Source organism: Homo sapiens, chromosome 11 (assembly GCF_000001405.40).
Source record: "Homo sapiens chromosome 11, GRCh38.p14 Primary Assembly".
Classification (NCBI taxonomy): domain Eukaryota; kingdom Metazoa; phylum Chordata; class Mammalia; order Primates; family Hominidae; genus Homo; species Homo sapiens.
In genome coordinates this window covers 3,223,134-3,239,042 of record NC_000011.10, presented here as the reverse complement: position 1 = coordinate 3,239,042, position 15,909 = coordinate 3,223,134, and the positions used below count along the sequence as shown (strand labels likewise).

Genomic DNA, 15,909 nt, shown 5'->3' with positions numbered 1-15,909 from the left:
CAGACACTATTAGCGAATATTCTGATTTTATGGCATTTAGTTGTTTGCATAGGTTTAGTAAGAATGTTTTCTTTTGAAATGGGACACAATTGGAGACCCTGGTTATTTTACCAAGGCTTTGACTGGAATAATATATTTTTAGGTAAAGTTCCAGCAAAGTCAACTTGAAAGGGGCCGGTATGGCCAATTGGTTCTTGCTGCACTTTATAATCAGGGAAGTATAATAAGCCTAAAACTTGTTTTGCACACAGATTGGTCTTACTACAATTTCTCTTTAGTAGAAAAGGAAGGCTAGAGAAAGGGAAATTTTTTCAAAGGAAAACTATACTACACCCATTACTAGATTCCAGCCCTGACTTTTGTTTGTTAGTGTGGATTGAATCATGAATTATTTCTTGGCTATAATAATCCTCTAAAGATGAGCCAGGTTATCATTTTCTTCGTGATGCTTTTAGTCAGTGCCCTAATGGAATAGATTCCTTTTTCTCTTCTGACACACACATTCTCTTTTGATTGTCAAATTATTAATGTTGTTTATCTCTCTTTGTTTTACTTCCGAGGAAACCAGAATATGGTATTCTGAAAAATAGAGGTGCAACTCTCCCTCATTGGCATCTCACTGGGCCCGAGCTGTTTTTCACTGCAAATACCTGCTGCTAAAATTATACCAGCACTCTTCCTCTAGGCCCACGACTGTCACAAATGAGGCAGGCATGTGAGATTGTAAGGGCCAATTTAGGGAGACAGAATTCATTCAGATCCTCCAAATCAAGGTTGGGCAGAGATGCCTGAATCAGTGGCAAAAAAAGGGACTTTGCCTCCTGGGTTATTATGTGGCCTGTTTTCATCCATCTCAACCATAAAGAATTTACTGTTTTCCATAGAATTCAAAGAAAATTACTGAGAATATATAAAGACACCTCATGACAAAGCCTCTTGGGTATAATACTCCCAGTTATGAGATTTATACAATTAGATATATCTGCATAAATTTATATATATACATATGTATGTATTTGTGTGTGTGTGTGTATACATATTTATACATATACAAACAGTTTGGTGGAATTTTAAGGGTTGATGAGTGCCCATCCACCTCCATTCCCTTCTGGCCTAGAATGTTTAAATTGGCTGTGAGTCTTTTGACTCTAAGCCCCTTGGCCATAGGGGTCCCACTGAGGGTCACAATGGACCCAGGACAGGCAGCCGAAACACCCAGTAACGCTATGGGACAAAATAAAAGTTTGGTGGCCATTGATGTTGCCTCTGGCAAGTCTTGGCCAGAGGAGGAGAATATAAACCAAAAATAAAATTCCAAGTTCCCCAACCAACTGAATGGAAGGGCATTCATTCTAAAGTAAACTTGAAACATTAGTTCAGGCCATGATGAGAATGGGTGGTCAGACATGCCTCATACCTTCCTGCCTTTGGAATTCAGGCACAGCTGACCAGCATTCACATTAAAACAAGAACTTAAGGCTGACAAAACAGACCCTTCGTAGCCATAAGATACCGCTGTAATGTCAGATAGCAGGCCCTGATAGAAATCAAAGTATTTTACCCCTTACCTTAAGCCATGTATCCCTTGCTATTGATTCCAGGTCTTTTACATAATAACTCTTTTAACCAGTCAGAAAATCTTTGAATCCACCTATGATGTGGAAGCCCCTGTTGGAGTTGTCCCGCCTTTCCAGATTGAACCAATGTACATCTTACATGTATTGATTGATGTCTTCTGTCCCTCTAAAATGTGTAAAACTAAGCTGCACCCCAAACACCTGGGCACATGTTCTCAGGATCCCCTGGGGCTGTCACAGGCCATTGGTTATTCATAATTGATTCAGAATGAATCTCTTCAAATATTTTAGAGTTTGACTCTTTTTCTCAATAATTGGCAGATCAGCGCAATGGCTAAATGATGAGGGAGAACTCTAGGAAGCTTTTGAAAAGGCTCAAGAGGAAGACAGAAGTCTTCTTTGGAAACAATACAGTAGAGGAAAAGGGAGGGGGCTAGTATTTTGCAAGACGAAAAAAATCAAAAGTTTGCAGGACAAAAAATTCTCTTCTCTCACTGTATGCCCCCCACCCTGCTCTAAAAAAAATTATGTTTTCCAAGACTGACCAAAAAAGAAGCTCATAAACTGGCATCTTTTAAACCACTCTATCTTGCCATCCTTACGCACAAAAATGCAGAGACATAGTCTTCATCTATACAAAGGTTCTGGAAGAAAAAGCAGGAAAAAGTCCAAACAATTCAACTGATATAAATTCCCTCACATTTAAAAAAAGCAAAACCCCAGTTACACCTTATAAATCCTTCATCATTCTAAGATAAACTCAAATGGCTTACAATTCTTCCTTATATTATATGAAGTGTTTTGAGCCTATGTTCATGACAATATTGGTCTGTAGTTTTTTGTTCTTAGAATGTCTTTGTCCAGTTTGTATATCAGATTATTAGATTAATGCTGGCCTCCTAAAATGAATTGGCATGTTCCTTACTCCTGTTTTCTAAAAGAGTTTTGCAGGGTTGGGATTATTTATTTTTTGTCTATCTTATAGATTTGCCAGTGAAGCAATTTGGAACTAGAGACTTATTTGAGAGAAAGTGTTAAATTACGAGCTCATTGTTTTCATATTGAGAACTATTCATGTTTTCATTGTGTCTTTCAAAGAATTTGACCATTTCATCCAAATTGTCAAGCTTATTGGCATACAGTTTATTTTTACATTCCACCTTTACCATTTAAGTATCTGGGACCGGTAGTGGTATCCCCTCTTTCGTTACCAATATATAGGTGATTTGCAGTTTCTCTTTTTTCTTTTCTTTTTTTTTTTTTTTCTTTTCTTGAGACAGGGTCTTGCTCTGTCACCCAGGCTGGAGTGCAGTGGCCTGATCTTGGCTCACTGCAGCCTCAACCTCCCAGGCTCAAGCCATTCTCCCACCTCAGCCTCCCTCTCTTGAGTAGCTGGGACCACAGACATGCACCACCATACCTAGACAATTTTGTTTTTTTTGTTTGTTTGTTTGTTTGTTTTGTATTTTTTGTAGAGTCAGGATTGTGCTATGTCACCCAGGCTAGTATCCTAGTATCGAACTCCTGAGCTCAAGCACTTTTTGTTTTCTTAATCAGTCCATCCAAGGTTATTCCATTTTATTAATCATCTTAAATAAAACACCTTTGATGTCATTGCTTTTCTCTACAGCTTGTCCATTTGCTGTTGTCTTGACTGCCAGTCTTACCTGTGTTGTTTTCAACCTTCTCCTGATTTGGCATTTAACCTGCTGAGCCCCTTTGCCTCTTCTGGCCTGTGTTGCAGTCCGGAAGCCACCTCCAGACAGAAAGTTTGGGTGAGCATAGGGCGTGCCCATCAGCTTCCATTTTCTTGGGACCACAGTCCTGCTCGGCCTGTTGTCTAAATTCACAAACCGTGTTTTGGTTTTTTAGATTTTTATAATGGGAGGGTGATTCCAGCCCCTATTGCCCCTTTAGAACCAGAAGTAGAAGTCGTCATCCTCTTTCTTGAAGCTCCAATCCTGTCACATGCCACAGTGCTCCTGGTCCCCATGAATGTTATGATGATCAAGTCCAATAGGCAAATGGTCCCCCAAGGCACTGACTTCAACATAACCCATCACAAGTGCTTGTTTGATTGATGATGAGCCACAGAGTGGCATGGATCACCAGTGTCACTGACCAGAAACTCATCACGACAGTCAAGGCCAAGGACATGACCAAACCAAGCCTAAATTACCATGTTTCCCCTAGGACCTTTCAGTACCAGCAGGGACACAGTCAGTAGGCAGAAGCTACCTATAATTTTGAAGGGATGATCTTAAAGAATTGTTCACTAGAGACTGAAAAACCAAACACGTACAAAGGGAACACTAAGGTATTAGAGAAGAAACAACTGCAAAAAGAGCCGCCACCCCGGGCACGGGGAACAAAGGAAGGAAGTTAAAACTATTGAAATTTAGGACCAGTGGGGACGACTAGAGTGTAATTCAGGCCCCTGAGGGGGCTCCCAGCCAGTTAGTGGCCAGTGTCTCCAACAGGAAACAATGGGTCTGGTTTTTCAAGTGCTGGGAAAACTGCAGAAGTCCACTGCTGCTACAAGGTGGAGAAAGTTGCTGCGGGCCAGGCATGGTGGCTCACAGCTATAATCCCAGCACCTTCGGAGGCCAAGGCAGGAGGATTGCTTGAGATCAGGAACTAGAGACAAGCCTAGGCAATGTATCGAGACCCTATCTCTATAAAGTTAAAAATTTAAAAATTAGCCAGACAAGCCTCTGGTAGCCTGGCACTTGGTGCATGCCTGAAGTCCCAGCTACTCAGGAAGCTGAGGAAAAAATGCTTCAGCTTGCAAGTTGGAGGCTGCAGTGAGCTGTGATCATGCCACTGCACCTCAGCCTGGCCAACAGAGTGGCATTCTGTCTCAAAAAGAGAGAGAGAGAGAGTTGCTGGGGCAACTCTGACAGGGAGTGAAAGTGAAGCTCGAAAACATAAAGGAAGATGGACTAATTGGAAAGAGTCAGACAATTGGAGGGGTAGGGGAACTGGAAGGAGTGGGACAATAGGAGGGGTGGGACAATTGGAAGAGTGGGACAGTTGGAAGGGTGGGACAACTAGAATGGTAGGACAATTAAAAAGGTAGAACAATTGGAAGGAGTGGGACAATTGGGAGGGTTGGACAATTGGAACGGTGAGACAATTGGAAGGGTGGGACAATTGAAAGAGTGGGACAATTAAAACTGTGGGGAAATTGGAAGGGTGGGACAATTGGAAGAGTGAGGCAATTGGAAGGCAGTACAATTGATAGGAGTGGGACAACTGGAAGGAGTGGGACAACTGGAAGGTGAGACCATTGGAAAGGTGGATCAATTGGAAGGTAAGACCATTGGAAAGGTGGGTCAATTGAAAGAGGGGGACAATTGCAAGGGAAGGGCAATTTAAAAAGTGGGACCATTGGAAAGAATGGGGCAATTGGAAGGAGGGGGACAACTAAAAGAGTGGGATAATTAAAAGGATGAGGCAATTGGAAGGCTGGGACAATTGGAAAGAGTGGGAAAATTGGAAGGGTGGGACAGTTGGAAGGCTAATGCAATTGGAAGGTGGGATAATTGGAGGGTGGGACAACTGGAAGGAGTGGGACAAATGGAAGAGTGGGACAATTGGAAGGAGTGGGACAAATGGAAGAGTGGGACAATTGGAAGGAGTGGGACAATTGGAAGAGTGGGACAATTGGAAGGAGTGGGACAAATGGAAGAGTGGGACAATTGGAAGGAGTGGGACAAATGGAAGAGTGGGACAATTGGAAGGAGTGGGACAATTGGAAGAGTGGGACAATTGGAAGGAGTGGGACAAATGGAAGAGTGGGACAAATGGAAGAGTGGGACAGTTGGAAGGAGTGGGACAATTGGAAGGGTCGGGCATTTGGAAGGGTGGGACAGCTTTAAGGTGTAAGACAAGTGGAAGGCATGGAACTTATGAAAGGGTGGGATGGACAATTGAAAGGAGTGGCACTATTGGAACTGTGGGACAACTGGAGGGAGTGTGGCACTTAGAAGGGTGAGATATTTGGAACGTGTGGGGCGATTGGGAGCACTTCCCCCACACCCCTGGGCCATCCTTGAGTGACCACCCACTGGTAGGGCCTCCCAGAGCGGTGGCAGAGCCCAGGCATGGTTTACAGAGCCTCGGGCACCTGGCAGCTCGGATCCTGGTTTAGGAAGGGAGGATTTGAAGCTGAGACACAACTCAGCAAGCGGCACTGCTGCCTGTCAGATACCAGCCCCGCATGGACGTCAGACACCAGCGCGACACATTCATCAGACACCAGCATTGCACAGACGCCAGACGACCTGTGTGCGGCCCCTCCGTTTTGGGGATGGAGGATGCCGGTGCCCTGGGGGATGCCTGCTGATGTAGTGACAGGTCAAAGGCCACGTGCGGGAAACTTGCTCTCACTTGGTCCGCAAGAGGAGAGGTCAGGCGGACTGCGCAGAGTGGGAAACGCTCCGGAGCAAATCCGTGCTGTTTCTGCACTCTTCTCTACCTCGGAGATTTTTCTAAAGACAAAGATGAGAAAAGAGTTGCTAGGGCCTGGACTCGGGGAGGAACAGAGGCCAAAAAATGACCTTGTTTTCCTTCTCTTGGCACGTCAATTGCGATCTCCCTTAAGGCAGGGCACTGGAAGGAAAGGCACGGTCTGAAACGGGACTTGAAATCACTGAGTTCACGAGGTCTCCCGGAGCCTGACGCTGCTGTATGTGTTTGATTCTCCTCGGCCGGGGACCGCGCGGCAGCTTCTTGACACCGGCCATCTACTCTGTGCCTGCGAACGAGGCAGGAGGGACGGCCTCACGCACATCCCCGCTCCTCCCCGCGGTCCCACACTGCCTGGAGAGCTGGGGCCGGCAGCCTGTGCTCTGCGGAGAGAAAAACACATTTTTGCTGCAAGGACAAGTTCCGCCGGTAGCCCGGCTCTCAGCCGGCCCCTCCGAGGCACAGATGGAAAGAAGTGGTCCCTAAAGGGCCCTACAGGGCTTGGTGTCTCTGAGCCAGGAGTGCCAGTGAAGTCACAGCTTGGCTGGGCTCCACCCAGAGATCTCGTGGTTTCCTCTGCCTGCCAGGCCTGCCTGGAAGGCTGCAGGGAGGTTCAGGGTTTCTCTTGCTGTCCACACCTGGGCGAGAGCTGAGCGGAAGAGAAGGGGTCCTCAGAGAGACACCTTCCTGACCGGCCCCATTCCAGCTGGATGCCATGTGACTCGGAGGAGCTGGTGGACACTGAACAGGAGCCGCCCAGAGGCTCTGGGGACTGGAGCCCTCGGCCGCGGCCAGGATAGATCCAAGGCCCAGGGTCAGAGCAGGCAGGGCTCGGCCAGTCCTCTGCCCCAAACGGTGAGTAGCGCAGGTGGCTGGATCAGGGTGGGTCTCTGGGGCCGGCCCAGGCGCTCGGCATTTTCTGGGCTCTTTTGCTGGCCAGATGGTGGCAGGGGTGGGGCGTGGGCAACAGCAGATGCTATCAACAGGGAGCTCTCCAGGCTGCAGCCTCCGCCCTCTGACGGGCCGCACCACCTGGTCCGCAGCCAGCCCTGGGCTGAGTCTGGAAGAGGACGATAGCTTGGGTGATGGCTCCCCAACCCCCCACCCCCGGTGGCTCTGTCTCCTGTCTGCCTTGCTTCCTCCATGATCTAGAGTGTTCCCTGCAGGTGCAGACTCTCAAGGGGAGTCATGGGGGCAGCCGGGGATAGGCCCTCTCCTCCCTGCCACACCTGGGTGCTCAGCCTCAGGGCTTCTCAGTATTGGCTGTCTGGGCGGGACACAGAGCCACTCCTGGACCACCCAGGGATGGGGAATGCTGTGCCTCCCTCCTCTTCTGTTCCATCGTCCTTCCCCGCCTCCTCCCCTCCTTCTCCTCCCCCTCCTCCTCCTCCCTCCTGTTCTCTTCCATCGTCCTCCCCCGCCTCCTCCCCTCCTTCTCCTCCCTCTCCTCTTCCTCCTGCTCACCAAGGATGCAACAAACTCCTCTACTCCCCACAGTCCTGTAACCCAACTGTGGCGACCCTTCCTACAGAGCTCTGCCTCCCTCCCGAGCCCCCAGTGGGGCACATGGTCCCACAGGGAGACCTCCTCCAGGGTCACAGCAGAGAGGGGGCAGCAGCAGGGTCTGGCTGAGCTCCGTGGCTCTAACCCCTTGTCCCCCTGTTCTCCTCCCTGTTTCCTTCTCTGTCCCCCATCTCTTCATGCCTCTCCCCTTCCTGCACTCTCCCCTCTCCCTCTATGTCCATCGCTTCCCTGCCATGCTCTCTCCCTGGGGCCCACCCATGAGGCCCGTGTCCTCCTCAGCCATGCAGGAGGTGAGATAGGAGAGGGACCATGGCCCTTGGTGGGCCACAGGCTGGAGAAACCCCACCTGTTGCTTTGGGGCTGGAGCTTGCTGGTAGATCCCGGAGATAGCTCCGTCCATGGGTGGACGGGACTTGTGCCTGGGAGGGGGTCCACCATCAACAGACTTAAGACCTCCCAAAACTCATCTCTGCCTCCCTCTGGGCCTGAGGGTTGGTGACCCCCCCAAGCTATCCTGAGTAGGAGAGCATCTGTCCCCCTCCCCACATCTCCCCACCTGCCATGGCAGTGATGCCCCGTCTGCCCCACTCAGGGTGTCCTCCTGATGATGCTGGCCCAGGTGGGGCTCCCTCCACCACCACCTCACCTCCCACCCATGGTCTGCCTTCCCGGGGCCTTGGGTGCTAGGATGGAGCACAGGGACAGGAGGAAGAGCCCTATATCTCCAACCAGGCTTGACTCCACCCGCAGGAGATTCAGACTGGACCACGGGCAGGACTCAGCTTCCTGAGGTGCTGGGACTGGGGCCTCCTCTCCACTGAGCCCCCCACCCCCATGCCCACCCCTGAGGCGGGGACAACCTCAGGCTGTCATTTCACCCCAGTCAAACAAAAGACCACAGAGCTGAGGGTGTAAGCCGAGGGAGATGACCAGCACCTCACGGGGTGGCTGGCACCTCTGTGCTCAGCGATAGCCCCGCCCCGGGCCACCTCTCCCCAGCATCCCAGCACCGCAGCGTCCCCCTGCATGGTCTCGGGTGCTCCTATCACTGGAGGGAGACAGCAGGGGTTCTGAGCACAACCTTGAGGTGGGAAGAAGCCGCTAAGACCAGCTATGGGGGTTTCTGCTTGTACCCCCACCCTCCTCACCCCAAACCCCAGCCCTCCCAGGACACAGGAGGACCAGCCACCACCAAGGTGGGAGGGGCACCTGGTGTCGGCCCCTGACCCCAGCCAGTCTCTGGGGAGAGGCAAGGCCCCATCCCCTCTCCCCCAACCCCAAGAGGAGAAGCTGGGGTCACCAAGCACTCAGAGACACATGACGGGCCAGGTAACCACAGGGGCAGCATGGGGCCGGGTATCTGCAGGCATGTCTCCGGCTCTGAGCACCTGGCAGTCTCCTAGAGTCTATTACTTGCTGTATTTCTGGCAAAGCTGTGATGAAGACTCCGATTCCAGCCTAGGTCCCCTGGGATTTGTGCTGCCTCCCAGGACTCAGTACCCCTCCCGCAGGACCTGTCCCCGTGAGCCGACTGCCTTGGGAGGGGATGGAGGGAGGCTGGAGACGCCATGGAAGCTCAGGGCCCCTCCCAGCCCCATCATCAGACAGCTCCCTCTTCTCCCCATGGGGAAAGGGCGGGCAACGTTGAGCAGGATGCAGCCTCCTCATGTGCCCCCTACCCTGCAGAGGGCTGGAGTCCTGCTGTAGGACAGCAGGGACATGGCCAGGGGAAAGGGAGTTTTCCTGTGGCCCTGATGTGGCTGCATGGTGTGACCAAGCTGGAGGGCTGGGGACTGGGAGCCCACTGGCAAACAACCCCTCATGGATGTCAAGGAAAGGCCTCAAAGAGTTGAGGGCTGCTTTAAGATGATGACGAAAAGCCCCACAGCCACTGTAAGCTGTCCCTCTGTGGTCACACCACTCATTAGACATGGGCGGTGCCTCCTGCTCTGCCTATGACTTTAAAATAAGTCATATTTTATTCTTTGGGAGTCCAAGGCAGGCGGATCACGAGGTCAGGAGTTCGAGACCAGCCTGGCCAATATGGTGAAACCCTGTCTCTACTAAAAATGCAATAAATTAGCTGGGCATGGTGATGCACGCCTGTAATCCCAGCTCTTCGGGAGGCTGAGACAGGAGAATCACTTGAACCCGGGAGGCAGAGGTTGCAGTGAGCCGAGATGGTGCCATTGCACTCTAGCCTGGGGCAACAGAGCCAGACTCCATCTCCAAAAAAAAAAAAAAAAAAAAAAAAAAAAAGCCCATTCTGAGGATCAAGGCACCACTAGCAACAGGGAGCCCCATGGGTCTCAGACCCTCTCCCCACATCTCCTGGTCCCTGCCCCCACCTGGCCTACAGGGACCAGCCCCACGGAAGGCTCTTGAGGCCAGGTAACCATGGGGAGGGGAGGAATGGGGACACCTTCCTCCTGAGTGTCTTAGGGAAGAGAAGCTTAGGTCAGGTGGCTGAGGGTGGAAATGAGAGAGGGGTCTTCTCCTGGAGGGTCTCACCATTCCCTTGGTCACCCACCCAACTCTCATCTCCCCTGATGTGGGGAGGAGCAGGGGGCATGGATTCCTGAGCCCCAGACTCAACTGTTGTGGTTTACAGGGGCATCAGGAGAGAGAGCGAGCAGAACACACTCCTGCAGCATCCCCTGGCCCCCCGCCCCATGATGGAGCCCAGAGAAGCTGGACAGCACGTGGGGGCCGCCAACGGCGCCCAGGAGGATGTGGCCTTCAACCTCATCATCCTGTCCCTCACCGAGGGGCTCGGCCTCGGTGGGCTGCTGGGGAATGGGGCAGTCCTCTGGCTGCTCAGCTCCAATGTCTACAGAAACCCCTTCGCCATCTACCTCCTGGACGTGGCCTGCGCGGATCTCATCTTCCTTGGCTGCCACATGGTGGCCATCGTCCCCGACTTGCTGCAAGGCCGGCTGGACTTCCCGGGCTTCGTGCAGACCAGCCTGGCAACGCTGCGCTTCTTCTGCTACATCGTGGGCCTGAGTCTCCTGGCGGCCGTCAGCGTGGAGCAGTGCCTGGCCGCCCTCTTCCCAGCCTGGTACTCGTGCCGCCGCCCACGCCACCTGACCACCTGTGTGTGCGCCCTCACCTGGGCCCTCTGCCTGCTGCTGCACCTGCTGCTCAGCGGCGCCTGCACCCAGTTCTTCGGGGAGCCCAGCCGCCACTTGTGCCGGACGCTGTGGCTGGTGGCAGCGGTGCTGCTGGCTCTGCTGTGTTGCACCATGTGTGGGGCCAGCCTTATGCTGCTGCTGCGGGTGGAGCGAGGCCCCCAGCGGCCCCCACCCCGGGGCTTCCCTGGGCTCATCCTCCTCACCGTCCTCCTCTTCCTCTTCTGCGGCCTGCCCTTCGGCATCTACTGGCTGTCCCGGAACCTGCTCTGGTACATCCCCCACTACTTCTACCACTTCAGCTTCCTCATGGCCGCCGTGCACTGCGCGGCCAAGCCCGTCGTCTACTTCTGCCTGGGCAGTGCCCAGGGCCGCAGGCTGCCCCTCCGGCTGGTCCTCCAGCGAGCGCTGGGAGACGAGGCTGAGCTGGGGGCCGTCAGGGAGACCTCCCGCCGGGGCCTGGTGGACATAGCAGCCTGAGCCCTGGGGCCCCCGACCCCAGCTGCAGCCCCCGTGAGGCAAGAGGGTGACTTGGGGAAGGTGGTGGGGTCAGAGGCTGGGGCCAGCCGGACCTGGAGGAGGCCTTGGTGGGTGACCCGGTCATGTGCTGTCAAAGTTGTGACCCTTGGTCTGGAGCATGAGGCTCCCCTGGGAGGCAGCTGGAAAGGCAAGGTCTCTACATGCCCAGGCAGGCGGGCCGGGTCTCTGGGGAGAAGGCCGAGGAACGTGCATTTTTGGGAAACCTCCCCAACGGTTCACGCACTGGCACTCGAGAGCTGCTGCTGCTACCCATTCCCTGCTCAGCTGCAGTGAGGAGACCCCGGAAAGCAAGGAAGCAAGGCCAGACGCCAGGTGAGGGGCAGGTCCAGGCCTTTCCGCAGGCCACCTCCCCTCCCACTCCAGCTTCCTCAATGCTGCAGGTGCACCCACAGATAACACAACCATCCCCTCAGCTCGCCTTGTGCCCGCTGTGGAAGCTAAATTGACCCTAAAATGGAAGACTGCCCAAAACTTGACCCCCTCCCCGTCCTTGATCATCAGCCAGTTGCTCAAGGCCGTGCACCTCAGACCGGGACGATGCAACCCTCACTCGGAGCTTCAGAAAAGCCGGCCCCATGGGTGTCCCTGGATATTAGGAGGGTGCACCCTGGGTGGGTGGAGAGGCTTCTTACAGCCCCACCCAGCAGCCTGCAGCCCTGTCTCCCCACAGGACCCAGGTCTTCAGCAACCAGAAAGCTTCACACCGGCCCCATCCAAGGCAGTTCACCCGCCTCTGTCCTGAGCAAGTCCCGCTCCAGAGGATCCCTCTGAGGAAGGAACCCAGGCTTCACCCCTCAACAGGTTTCCGAGCTTCCGCTGAGTGCCAGGCCTGGCTGCCATCCAGGAGCATGTGCCAGGGGTGCTAGAGTGGGGGCTTTGGAGCCCACAGCCTGGGCTGAGCCCCGCTAGCCACCCCACTGTGCTGCCAAGGCCATCTCTGAACATCCCTACGCCTCTGTTTGCTGGTCTGTAAAATATGAGAACCCAGTGCTTTGAGGCCTGTCCAGCCTCTCGTGAGCCCAAGAGAAATGTCTGTCGATTCTACTGCCACCAACGCCACACATCCAAGTCCACAGTGCAATTCTTAGCCACAGACCAAGGCATCTGAGAGTGTTTTCTTTGATTTCTGACTCCGGCCTCCATGGCTGGTGATGGAAGGACATTCCCTCTGGACCATGACTGAACCAGCCCCTCTTGAGTCTGGGTGTGAGTCGCAGATCCCTGGTCAGCACCCTGGAATCCGGCTGCACCGGGCCCCTCCCAGCCCACACAGTGCGTTCACCTCAGGCTCCCGCACGTGCCCAGCAGGCCTGGGTCCAGGTATCCCTTGAGACTGGGAGCCCCAGGGGCTGGACCCACCTCTCCTAGAGCACCTCCAGCCCCCACTTGGGGACTTACCTCCTCCCAAATTATCTCCAGCCCAGGATCTGCACAGGGCCCTCTCTCCCCACCTCCAGGACGTGATTAGCAACTTCAGTTCCTCAGCTGGAGAAACAAGAACAGAAAGGGAAGTGGCCTGTCCACAAATTCCACTTTCAGCCCCAGGACATAAACTTCCCCCAGAACAAGGAAGAACCAGGAGGAAAAGCACAGATTCATCTCACGGACATGACCTCACCGTGGACGTGTTCCCGGGGAATCCTCGTAATAATGTAGGAAGGTGCTCCCACTCTGCAGATGAGCCACCAAGGCTCCGAGGGGCTATGTGGCCGTTCAGGACCACAGGAAAGCTGCAAAGCCAGAAGGTGACTCCCAGCACCACCCTCCCACGCCACACGCTCCGCCTCACTGGACCAGGGCTGGCTCAGGTGTCCTCAGCCCCACACTGGCTCCCCCAACCCTGGCCCCATCCCCACGCAGACCCCTTTGCTGCATAAGGGTTCAGAGAGATTGCGGACCCTTAGAATGCTCACTTCTTCCCAGAGAGCCTGCTCTCAGCATCCAGGGGATTGGAGTGGCTCTAGATTCCTCCTTATTAGCCCCTTCTCGAGGAGTCCGGGAAATGTGGCCTCATCTGAGGTCTCCATGGAAACTGGGCCCAGCTCGTCCCCACTCTAGTAGCTGCTGTGGCAGCAGGTATATGGCCTGATGGCCCAGGATGCTGGTGGGGTATCCCCTTGGCCCCAGATGTGCCAGCTTGGCCTCCAGTTCTGTGGTCCTTGAGCCCTCAGGACATTAGGACCATGTGGGCTGGCCTCCAAACTGGAGGCTGAGCTTCCGTCCAGGCTCCCACCTGCCCCTGCCCAGCCTGCGCCTCCTCTGACCTCCCCCGCTGCACCTCCTCTTCTGCCCCCAGAGCCACAAGGCCCCACCAGGGACCCCTGGCTGCCCTAGACCCCACCCTGCAGGACCCTGGGGCCTCACTGCTCAAAGGCCACCTCCACCTGGGTCGCAGGCAAAGCTCCTCGGTCAGTGCCCAGCCCACCCCATCCACCCGCAACCCCGGGCCCCTGCGGGGCTGCCGCGGTCAGCACAGAATTCCCAAGAACAGGCGGCTACTCCTGGGGGCAGCCAACATTCCAGGGAGCCTGTGTAACCCGCTCCGTCCTCAGGGCCCAGGGAGGCTGTGGGTGAGGACTGTGTGTGTGAGGACAGGAGCGGAGACAGGCCTGCGGCCAGCTTCCCTATCCCCTCCCCAGCGCCCGGGTACGAGTCTGTAAATCAGCCTGCGCTGCATGGCGTCTTCACGGGGAGAGGCAGGCTCACTCCTCAGCTAGTTCATTAGCTCACACGCTGGAAAAATAAAACCAAACATCACACTTAAAACATGACCACGGCTTTAGTTTTGTTGTTCTCATGAAAGCGCGCAATTCTTCCACAGCCCTGATGCTTTTCCTCTGAAACACACCCCATCCCCCCTGACGGTGCCCGCATGATGCCCAGCTGGAGAGAGGCTGCTCCTGGCAGCTCCCAAGGTCATGGGGTTTCCTGTCCATTCCGCCTCCCGCTTCCCCACCACCCCCATGTGTGGCCACTGAAGCGTGTCAGACCTGGTTATTCTAATGAAGGGGTGATTTTCTTTTAGCTATTGGATCTCACTAGCAGCAGAGCCAGTGCGTTCCGAGTCATTACTCTGCCTTGGGTGCTGGGTCACACATGTAACATGCATAATGTCACATGAACTTCCCAAGTAACCCGCGGAAAACTGAGGCTTCGAGAGACTGAGAGGGCCGGGCAGAAGCCACCGCCGGACACAGCAGAGCCCAGTGTTGGCCGCCACCGAGGGTCTCTGGTTTCTAAGCTGGGTGCTCCCAGCCCGGAATCCTCTGTCCCCTGGTGGAAGGAGGGAGCAGCAGCCCTGTGAGAGCCCCTAGCTCCAGGCCACGCAAGACTCCGACCTGGGAGGAAGGAGGGAGGGAGGCAGAAGGAGGGCAGCCTCAGGTCCAGTCCACCAGCCTCCACAGCTCCTGGTACTCCCTGTTCCACCCGGATCTTCTTTTCTGTGTTCTGAAGCTTTGGCATCTGGGGCCTTGCAGACCCCAAGAGACGGCCCTTCCCAGGGTCAGTCAATTGCTAGAGAGTGACAACGCCTTCATGAGCTCACCTTTCAAATGCAGACCCACCCCCAGCCCCTCCTCTATCCAGCTCCCACACTCCCAGCCACTATCCCTGCCCTCATCACCCCAGGGCCAGATTCCAGACCACCAGGGACAGGCTCTAGGACCCAGAGCTCTGAAATTGTTCCAGCTGCCAACCCTAAACCCACTTATACTGGCTGCCTCATCCACTCCTTCCTCCAGAAACTATGAGGACGCTCCCATCCACATTCCCCCTCCCCTCTCCCTCTGCCTCCTGACCAACCCAGTACTGCCCTATGTGGCCCCATGGGGTCACCCTCCCCTCCTCCTGGGAGCTATGAGTTAGCAACCATCTCTTCAACGGCAGCATCTCCTGACCTGGCGGCCTCACCTATCTGAATAATAATAATAATAATGCCTATATTAAAGCACTCCCGCTGTCGAGCTCCTCTGAAGACAGATGGGGGTGAGGGTGCGCAGGACCCTGCTGGACACTCAGTCCCCACTCTCCATCTGACCTGGGGGACCTGGGAAATCCTGTGTTCTCCCTTGGGCTGCGGTCAGATAGGATGGTGGTGGCATGGAAACCACGTGAATGGAGACGGGTTCCTGGCGAACCGGCTGAATCCTGCACTGTTCCTGCCTCTTCAGTGGCCCCCAGCCAGCCCCCACATAGATCACCACTGAGTCCCCACAACACATCCGAGGTGATAAAATCATTGCCCACACTTTCAGACTAGGACACTGCCCAGGGCCACAGAGCTGCTGTAGGGTGAGCTGCACAGTCGCCACGCAGCCCCAGCCCGCAGCTCAAACCATCAGACAAGCTCAGGACAGCTGTGTTCAGACAAACCACACCTGGGCGTCTGCACCACCTGGACGAGCAATTTAAGTTTCCGACGTCTTGGTTTCCCCATCTGCAGGCAAGGATGACAAGGTCGCCGTCTCAGACGGCGCTGTGGGGGCGCGTGGGAGGCTGGGTGGAGTGGCCGGCACTCACTCAGAGCGCTCTCCTAGAATGGCACCGGCACCACCTGAGGCCCAGTGGAGCAGCACGCACTCACGCAGAGCGCTCACCTAAACGGTACCAGTGTGCCACCTGCTTTGCAGTCGTTTCTTGCAGCAGCCGGAACAAATAACCACAACCGG

At 54.5% G+C, this 15,909-nt stretch overlaps 1 protein-coding gene across 1 annotated transcript, besides 1 other annotated feature; it reads left to right on the top strand.

The window, feature by feature from the left end:
- Nucleotides 1-6,625: 6,625 nt before the first annotated feature.
- MRGPRE (MAS related GPR family member E) lies at nucleotides 6,626-14,013 on the top strand. The gene is made up of 2 exons (NM_001039165.4): nucleotides 6,626-6,902; nucleotides 10,183-14,013. Exon 2 carries the CDS (start codon nucleotides 10,244-10,246, stop codon nucleotides 11,180-11,182), a length of 939 nt encoding a protein of 312 aa, NP_001034254.2. The 5' UTR covers nucleotides 6,626-6,902; nucleotides 10,183-10,243; the 3' UTR covers nucleotides 11,183-14,013.
- Nucleotides 14,180-15,058: an enhancer, noted in NCBI's record as "H3K4me1 hESC enhancer chr11:3245215-3246093 (GRCh37/hg19 assembly coordinates)". NCBI's record gives its function as "activates a minimal SCP1, AML or CMV promoter by ChIP-STARR-seq in primed H9 embryonic stem cells {active_cell/tissue: H9 hESC(primed)}" and the evidence as "EXISTENCE:reporter gene assay evidence [ECO:0000049][PMID:30033119]".

Coding starts and splice junctions, on each gene's coding strand:
- MRGPRE (NM_001039165.4), top strand. CDS start 10,244: ATGATGGAGCCCAGAGAAGCTGGACAGCACGTGGGGGCCGCCAACGGC.